Here is a 7,830-nt window from a genome sequence, read left to right as displayed (position 1 = left end):
AATAAATGAAAGCCTGTGGAGGAGGAGAGGAAGGAGAGGCGGGCGTGGGTTTGGGAGCAACTGAGGCTCCGCTTGCCCCTGGCTGGCGCAGGATGATGGTTCTTGGTTCACTCTCTCCGTCTCCGCTAGAACTGGAGCGGAGAAGTCTGCTTTCTGGAAGGTCGTCCTGGCGGCGGAGTCACACAGGACTTGTTCCCCTGGGACTCTTCATTCCGAGTCTTCATTCCGATTCTTTCAGATCCAGCCTTGAGGCCTCGGGTTCCTGGGAGCAGCTTTGTAGGGCTTGAGAGTCCTAGTCACCGCCACCCTCGGGTCCAGCTCAGGTTGGGGGCTACAGCTCCGTCCCTCCGGCACTTGGGACGACACTCTTTGAACTGGCCTCCCAGCGTCCCGCCTTGCTGGCTGCCGACTAAACTTTTTTTTTTCTTTTTGAGACTGGGTCTCGCAGGTTGAAGTGCAGTGCCGAGACCATAGCTCTTTGGGTGGCTGGGATTACAGGCGCGCGCCACCTCCCCGGCTCTCCGACTAGACATTATTTTATTTTATTTTATTTTTGAGGCACAGTCTCGCTGTGTCGGCCAGGCTGAGTGCAGTGGTGCGATACTGGCTCACTGCAACCTCCACCTCCCAGGTTCAAGTGATTCTCGTGCCTCAGCCTCCCGAGTAGTTTGGATTATAGGTGGGCACCACCACGCCTGGCTAATTCAGTAAAGATGGGGTTTCACCATGTTGGTCGGGCTGATCTCGAACTCCTAACCTCAAGTGATCCGCCCGCCTCGGCCTTCCAAAATGCTGGGATTACAGCGTGAGCCAGTGCGTCCGGCCTAGACATTCTTAAAAGGCAAATTGGAACACATCCTCCGCTTGAAAACGCCAGTGCCCCCTGGGCCAGGGCACCAAGATCCACTTAAAACCCTGCGGGTGAGGCATTAGTGATGAGCTCCTGCTTATCATTCCAGCCATATCAGAGAGGAAGGCCACCAAAGAGTCAGGTCCTTTCAGCCTTGACCCTTGTGCGCACTCTGCCCGCTCACACCCTCTACTTCTTTACTGGAGAAACTCTGACCTCAACGCCCCTCCTGTGCACCTGTGCTGCCCCCAGCCCCACTCCCACCTCGGGACGTTCCTGTCATGCTCAGAGCACGCTGGGGGCCCTGTACCACAACACTTGTCACACCTGCTAGGCTCAGGGACAGTGAACAACCTCAGGGCAGGGGCTGTGTGTGTTCTGGATGTGTATCCCCAAGTCTAGCAGAGTGTGCATAGATAGGGGTTCAATAAATGGATATTGGCCAGGCACAGTGGCTCACGCCTGTAATCCCAGCACTTTGGGAGCCTGGCCAACATGGTGAAAACCCGTCTCTACTAAAAATACAAAAATTAGCTGGGTGTGCTGGTGCACGCCTGTAATCCCAGCTACTCGGGAGGCTGAGGCAGGAGAATCGCTTGAACCCAGGAGGGTTGCAAGTTGCAGTGAGCCAAGATCGTGCCACTGCACTTCAGCCTGGGCGATAGAGCGAGACTGTGTCTCAAGAAAAAAAAAAAAAGGATATTGAATGAATGAAGGCATGAATTCTAAGGATCAAAAGTGAAGCTTTAAAAATGTTAGGCTGGGCTGTGGCATTTTGGGGGCTCACCAAGGCCAAGAACCATATCTTCTTTGAGTCCTGATAGCTAGCTAACAAGGTGGCACTCCTTTCAAAATATGTGAATAAATTCAAGATGGCAAAGTGACGTCAAGCTGTTTAGTTATGGTCGCATCCCACAGCCTGTGAACATCTGCTCAGTGAAGGGGGCAGGGCCGTGGGCCTCAGGGGCCAGGCACTGAAGGAAATACAAGCAGGCTTAGGAGGGTGTGTTTGTCTGTGGTGTGTCTGAAAACGCCAGTGCCCTCCTGGGCCAGGGCACCAAGATCCACTTAAAACACTGCGGGTGAGACATTAGATAGACAATGAGGACACCAAATCCAAGAGGTGTTTAGTGTAATGAGTGTTCAGATGGGTGGGGCAGGGTGGGGTTCCCCCCATCTGACCCTCTAGGGCTCTGGGGTGACTCATTCTTCCTTGGGCTCAGAGGTGGAGCTGATATTTGTTCCTCCAGTTGAGCCCTGCTCCCCCTGGCCCTTGGCGTTCTCAGTGTCTCCAGACACTAGAGCCACGTTCCTCAGATAATTGATGTTGAAGCAGTTGACCTGTTCATCCCCAGGACTCAGGTAACAGCAGAGGGCAGGGTCTCGCCAGATGTTACGTCGGGGACCACACAGATCATTGATGAAGGTTAATTTCTGATGAATGAGAAAAGTAAAACAGATGATGGGGTGGGGAGGTGGTCCAAGGACAGATGTAGATACTTGGGTGCCAAAGTCCCCCTTTCATCAGCTTCTACTGCTCTCTCCCTCGTTCCCCTCCTGGGGCCCAGAGAGAGTACAAGACTGCCTTGCACAGCTGGATTCCTTGTGACTGACAAATGTGTACATCTGGAAATGCCAGAAGCTTGTGGCCCGGAGAAGGCATAATAGGAACTTAGAGATGGGGAGCAGGCCAGGTCAGAGTGAAGACTTTTCTGGAACCAAGAAAAAAACACCTCCCCCACTAGTCATTATAACCAAAGGCTGGTTTGAGGTACTAAAGAGAAGGGGTGGCCTGCAGTTCTAGCTCTTTCCCTCCCCTCCCCTGCATTCCTCTGGAGACTAGACTCCACACACTCACCTCCTCCTCTGCACAGCAGGCCTGTTCTGGAAATGGCAGGTCACAGCAGCGGGCAGTCATGTTGTGGATCAGCCCAGGAATATGTTTACTATGTTGGTGTGAAAGGGGCAGGGGTTAGGGTCTTTGGGCATCTTCTGGCATCAGATGGGGTTGGGATATCATGATTTTGCTTTTCCCAAAGGTGTCCCAAAAGGAAGTTTTCGGGAAAGGAAGAGAGTGGGGAAGGACTAGGCAACTTACTGCTTGGTGAGAACTCTTTGGTTTCCACAGAGGTGGCCCATGAGGTTGGGGGTGACTCGACCGATGTCAATGGTCAAGATGTCCCGGTCATAGTTGGGGTAAGGAGCCCGACGGGCAAAGCACTCATCCCGAGTAGGGCTGGGAGGGTGGCGGCAACACAAGTGGTGGTGGGTCTTCACAGCATACTCCCGGTCACAGTATTTGTCAAGGGTATCCTCCCACTGTGGACCAGAGAGAGGGAAGTCAGAAGCTGGACACTTGGCCCCTTCTCTCCTGACCATCGACTTCCCTTATCGTCCCTGGCAACTAGATGAGGGGCTCCCAGCCCGAGAGGCCCAAAGGGAATGGCAAAAAAGTAGAGGGTTAGGAGGCAACTGTTGATGTGTGGGCTTGGGAAGGTGGACGGGTGGAAGCCTGGATGAGGTTCCAAGCTGGTGCCGGGAGATGAGCTGGAACAGTGGATGGAGAAGGTCAGGTGAGGCCAGAGCTGGACGGATGGATGGATGGTAGACAGATGCGTGTGTGGATCATGAGTGGAGGAGGCCAGAAGTGTAGTACGAAGCTCAAGATGAACAAACTCAGGTGACAAACACAATGGATGGACGGACAGCCACAAGCAGATGAACGGGTGGACGCACTCACAGCAGGGGGGGTACATGGATGGATGGACTGGCAGGATCAGAGGTCGAAGATGGGCAGGCAGGCAAACAGGCTCTCAGGGAGGCTGGGACGCCCACTTACGGCCTTCCATGTACAGGTGTGATTGTTCCCCTGGCGGCAGCAGCGCTGGAACTCCCTCTCCAGCTGGATCAGTGCCAGCAGCTCCCTTTGTAGGGGGTCAGTAGCTGGCAGGTTGCGTGGCACAGAGCGGAAGCGCCTCAGGTGGCAGATGTTCTTGATATTGTCCAATGTGGGCACCCCAGGAGGGAAAGGCAGCTCAAGACCCGAGGAAATATCAGGCTGATGGCTGGGGCAGGCCCGGAGCTGGTAGTGTGGCTGGGGAGCTTCCTCCTGGAAGCAGGAGAACCGAGCCTCCCCCTGCCGCGTGCAGCACCAGTGGGGTCGGGTCTTGACCGAGAACTCGGCCTCACAGAATCGGCTCATTGCTTCCTCCCACTAGAGCAAGAGGGGAGGATCAGCCCACTTTCCACATTCCTGCCTTCCTCCCAGGCTCCAGGAAAGGACACTGGGCAGGCAGATAAAGAAGAGACAGTGGTTGTCCTCTGCTCCCCTGGCACATTGGGGAGGCCCAGGGTAGGGCCAGTGAACGGGACCTGAGGTTCCTCCAGACCCAGGCCTAGTGCTCTAACCCTTAAAACACACATACTGTCTGGGGTTAAAGGACACCCCCCGGCATCAAGAACCCAACCTTACCACAAGTTTGGCACACTCTAGGCGGTTTGTGTGGCTGCGGCAGTGGCAGCAGCGGGAATATCCAATCTCCAGGAAATTGAGGGTCTCACCCTGGCGAGTGAGGTGGGAGTAGCTGGACTGTGGTAGGTTCCAGGGACCATATACCACATGCTGACGGTTAGGAAGGCAGATTTGGTTCAGATTGTCTGGAGAAGGCCGCCCAGGGGGGAAGCCATCCAGCCGGTGGCCCCAGCCCCCTTGGGACCGGTCCTGTTGGCAGTGCTGGGCTGCATTCCAGGACTCAGGTTCTGGATGGCTCTGGTCCCCAAATGGAGCTGGCGTTCCTGGAATGGGGAAAACAGTGGGAAGCGGGGACATGTGAAGGAACCCACAAAGGCTGGATGAGCTGGGAGGATTGAAAGAATCTGGGGTGGAGGAGAAAGGGTTGGGAGGATATAGTGGAAATGAGAAAGAACAATTTGTGGCTCTTCCTTTTAAAATAACTGAAAGGAAAAGAGAAGCGAGGTGTGAAAGGTGTCAGCTCACAGCCTGCCCCCACCTCCTCCTGCTTCTCAAGGCTCGGGCTTCCTGCTCCTCTCCCCAGGGTCCTGAGCACTAAGGCAGGAGGATGGACAGACCAAAGCTGTCACTCACCCTCTCTCGGCATGGAATGGATGATTATCTCCTCCTGATATGGAAGAGGTGGGTCTACTGGGTAGAAGGAGTAAGCAAAAGCCATGTTGGGATGGCCATCTCTAGCAGAGAAAGCCTGGCTAGTTTACATGCACAAAGAAGAACTCAGCAGAGAAGCAAGTGAAAATAGATGCTATTTTTGCACATCTAATCACATAACTTTCTAAAACAGGTATATCCTCAATTTTACAGATGAAGAAACAAAGGCTTGGAGAAGTATGTAACTTACCCAAGGTTATACAACTGGTGAGTGGCAGAGCCCACCGTCTTGTCTGCCCCGAAGCCCATGCTCTGGGGGAAGGCCATGAGGTAAAGGTGGGTAAAGAAGAGAGGGAGCTGCTTACCTTCCTTCTGTTCATTGGGGTGCTGGAGAGAGGGCAGCTCTTTTTGGAGGGGGACAGCTTCCTGAGGGAGAGGGGGACCCACTGCAAGATAGGGGTGAGGGCACCAAGGAGCAGGGATCAGCCTGGTGTCAACAGGATCCATAGTGGGATAGAGGTGAGGGAGGGTGGGCAAGCGCTCACCTTCCTTTTCAGCAGGGAGTTGGGCAGGTAGCAGCTTTTCCTGTTGGAGAGGGGTGGCCTCCTGAGAGGGAGGGGGCTGCACTATAGAAGGGGGAATGTGTGAGCAGCCCACCCTTTCTCCTAGCCAGGGCTGGGAGTGGGGGCGAGGGCCTCTTCCCTCCTTTCCACCTGAAAAGTGGGATATAGGCCAGATTAGAAACCTGGAGGGTCACTGAGGAGGGCATGGGATGGTGACCTTACCTTGACTCTGTCCCTCAAAGGGAGGGCCATGCTGAGAGGAGTCAGGGTGATCCATGGGGAGGCTTCGGGATAGGGGTGGGGAGGGGGGAGCTGCGTAGCCAACTAGAAGCAAGAGGGGAGACATCAGAGCCCACAGTGCCTCCTGGAGTCCCAATCCCATGCTGCTCCCCCAAACTCTTACCTTCTTGAAAGTGCTCTGGCCTCAGCTGCCTCTGTCCTGTAGCCGTGAAGCCTGGAGGGAAGAAGGGCAAGTCAGGGGCCACTGGGAGGGCCTTCCCTGGACTTCAGCAAGGGATGGGGAGGCTGTGGAGATCAAGAGTGTAGGACAGACAAGCAAGACACGAGATGCCCCTCTGTATTCACCTGCCCCGTGTCCCCTAATCCTCTCCCAGCCCCAACACACCTAGACATGACCAGCTGGGTTCTGAGAAAGCCTGTGGCGGTCTGATAGCTCCACCTCTACTGGCTCAGAGGTTGGGCCTAAAGGGAGTATGGCATACGGGATTGGGGAGGGAGGCCCTCATTTCCTCTGCCAGTCTTTCCCTCAGGGCTGTGGGTTGTCCTCCCCAGTCTCTGCTGGGATGCGTCTCTAGCTTTCAGAGGAAAAAGTCTGGACCTTGAGCTGGTTGGAGCCTACCCAATCCACCTCCTCCACCCACCCTCCTACTCCAGGCCCTTGAAACATCTTTAGGCCTTTGGTTAAGGAGGCTTCCTGAAGGTTGAGTGCTTCCCCTTCAGCCAGTCTCAGCTCCGCCTTAGTTTAGGTCTCAATTTAGGGCCTGGGGGACTGGGACAGGCACAGGGAAGGGTCACTTGTAGGTGATCTGCAGACACAAAAGACCAGGAGCTGGGAAGAATGATGGCATGGGGCTTCACAGAGAAGTGGACAGATTTGCTGACATCCTCAGCAGCTTCCTGCAGGAGTGCCCTGGGTGGTTTTTTTCCTTTTCTTTTCCTTTTTTTCTTAGTTTCCACCCATAGCATTGAGGGGTTCCTGTTTTGTTCAGGCATCAAAGCAGATAAAGAATGTGTTTGTGCTGGATGGAGGGTGGGTCTGTGGATGGACACCCCTCAACTCCTCTAATCAGACAGGGAGTCAGTCGAGGCTTGCTGGGCCAGCAATCCGGTTTTGAGCAGCCTGGGGGCCCCTTTTCCCTCCCTTGCCTCTCCCACCAGCCACCTCCCTACATCCTCATCAGCAGGAGACCCTCACTCTGTGAACCCACCCCCCACTCAGTTGTCTATTTGACTGGGATTCTGTGTTTCTTGGCAGCAGTTTCTAGGAACCCCTCTCCTTCTGTGCCCCTGCTCTCTGCCTCCTTGGTTAAAGGCTCCACTGGCCTAGGCCCACTTTGGGCCTGCTCAGAAAAGGAAAGCCAAACGGAGAATCACTCTGCTAGTGATGAGCCGTCTGGGATGCCTGGACCCAGACCCCTGCCATGCAAGCCCAGACCCCCTCCTAAGTGCTGATCCCCCAACTCACCTCCCTCAGAGGCAGCAGAAGCAACAGCCAAATAGGTCAAGACCAAGGCTGCTCTGGCTGTGGTCCCCATCCTGGGGCAACTGACCACTGGACACTCAGAGGTGGGTCCTCTCAGGCAAGTCTGGATGTGAAGGGCCGGCCACTGAAGCTTGTCTGGTGGCTGTTACGGTTGTGAGCTTCAGGACCAGCTCTTCTTTTATAATTGTCTGGTGTGATCTCCCGCCCTCCTCAGCTTCCTGCCATGACTCAGTCCCAGCTGCTCCTCCTCTGGAAGCCACTCCTCCCAAAGTCACCCTGAAGCCTCCTCAGAGGATTGAGAAGAATGGGACTGATTAGAGGAGAACATTCTTATGACCTTCAAGAGAAACTGATTCAGAGAATCCAGGAGCAAGAGGTGTTTGAGCCCCTAGTTTGTGCCTCAGTTTCTCCATCTACAGGCTGCCTTCTGTGGAGAGGGGATCTGCCAACTCATGAACTGGGGTTGGGGAAACAGGGCACAAAGGAGTTTACAGCGGGGAGCAGGAAACCTATCCAAGGGATCTCCCCTACCAGTGTGAGGTCTGGACTGTCCCTTTTCAATTTCCCTAAC

General features: G+C 54.7%; 1 protein-coding gene across 3 annotated transcripts, besides 3 other annotated features; it reads right to left on the bottom strand.

Moving 5' to 3' along the window:
• Positions 35 to 184: an enhancer, noted in NCBI's record as "active region_1690". NCBI's record gives its function as "activates an Ori minimal core promoter by ATAC-STARR-seq in GM12878 lymphoblastoid cells {active_cell/tissue: GM12878}" and the evidence as "EXISTENCE:reporter gene assay evidence [ECO:0000049][PMID:35858748]".
• Positions 255 to 324: an enhancer, noted in NCBI's record as "active region_1689". NCBI's record gives its function as "activates an Ori minimal core promoter by ATAC-STARR-seq in GM12878 lymphoblastoid cells {active_cell/tissue: GM12878}" and the evidence as "EXISTENCE:reporter gene assay evidence [ECO:0000049][PMID:35858748]".
• Positions 1,732 to 7,412, bottom strand: ECM1 (extracellular matrix protein 1). 3 transcript variants are annotated; one of them, NM_004425.4, is made up of 10 exons: positions 7,242 to 7,412; positions 5,940 to 5,990; positions 5,759 to 5,860; positions 5,519 to 5,599; positions 5,339 to 5,419; positions 4,323 to 4,645; positions 3,690 to 4,064; positions 2,949 to 3,169; positions 2,709 to 2,796; positions 1,732 to 2,284 (listed from the first exon to the last, which is right to left on the bottom strand). In NM_004425.4, exons 1-10 carry the CDS (start codon positions 7,309 to 7,311, stop codon positions 2,054 to 2,056), a joined length of 1,623 nt encoding a protein of 540 aa, NP_004416.2. In that variant the 5' UTR covers positions 7,312 to 7,412; the 3' UTR covers positions 1,732 to 2,053. The 3 variants fall into 3 exon arrangements, with proteins under 3 accessions (NP_004416.2, NP_001189787.1, NP_073155.2); NM_001202858.2 differs by having other exon boundaries at positions 5,519 to 5,686; positions 5,765 to 5,860; NM_022664.3 differs by lacking the exon at positions 3,690 to 4,064.
• Positions 4,157 to 5,027: an enhancer, noted in NCBI's record as "H3K4me1 hESC enhancer chr1:150482970-150483840 (GRCh37/hg19 assembly coordinates)". NCBI's record gives its function as "activates a minimal SCP1, AML or CMV promoter by ChIP-STARR-seq in primed H9 embryonic stem cells {active_cell/tissue: H9 hESC(primed)}" and the evidence as "EXISTENCE:reporter gene assay evidence [ECO:0000049][PMID:30033119]".

The sequence above is a fragment of the Homo sapiens genome, chromosome 1 (assembly GCF_000001405.40).
Source record: "Homo sapiens chromosome 1, GRCh38.p14 Primary Assembly".
In the NCBI taxonomy this organism is placed as follows: Eukaryota; Metazoa; Chordata; class Mammalia; order Primates; family Hominidae; genus Homo; species Homo sapiens.
This window is presented reverse-complemented; position numbering and strand designations above follow the sequence as displayed.

Excerpts from the sequence above, each read along its gene's own strand:
- ECM1 (NM_001202858.2), bottom strand. The coding sequence starts at position 7,311 with ATGGGGACCACAGCCAGAGCAGCCTTGGTCTTGACCTATTTGGCTGTT. Across the intron at positions 2,797-2,948 it reads CAAAGAGTTCTCACCAAGCA|TAAACATATTCCTGGGCTGA; the intron begins GTAAGTTGCCTA and ends ACACCAACATAG. Across the intron at positions 2,285-2,708 it reads CCTGCTGTGCAGAGGAGGAG|AAATTAACCTTCATCAATGA; the intron begins GTGAGTGTGTGG and ends CTCATTCATCAG.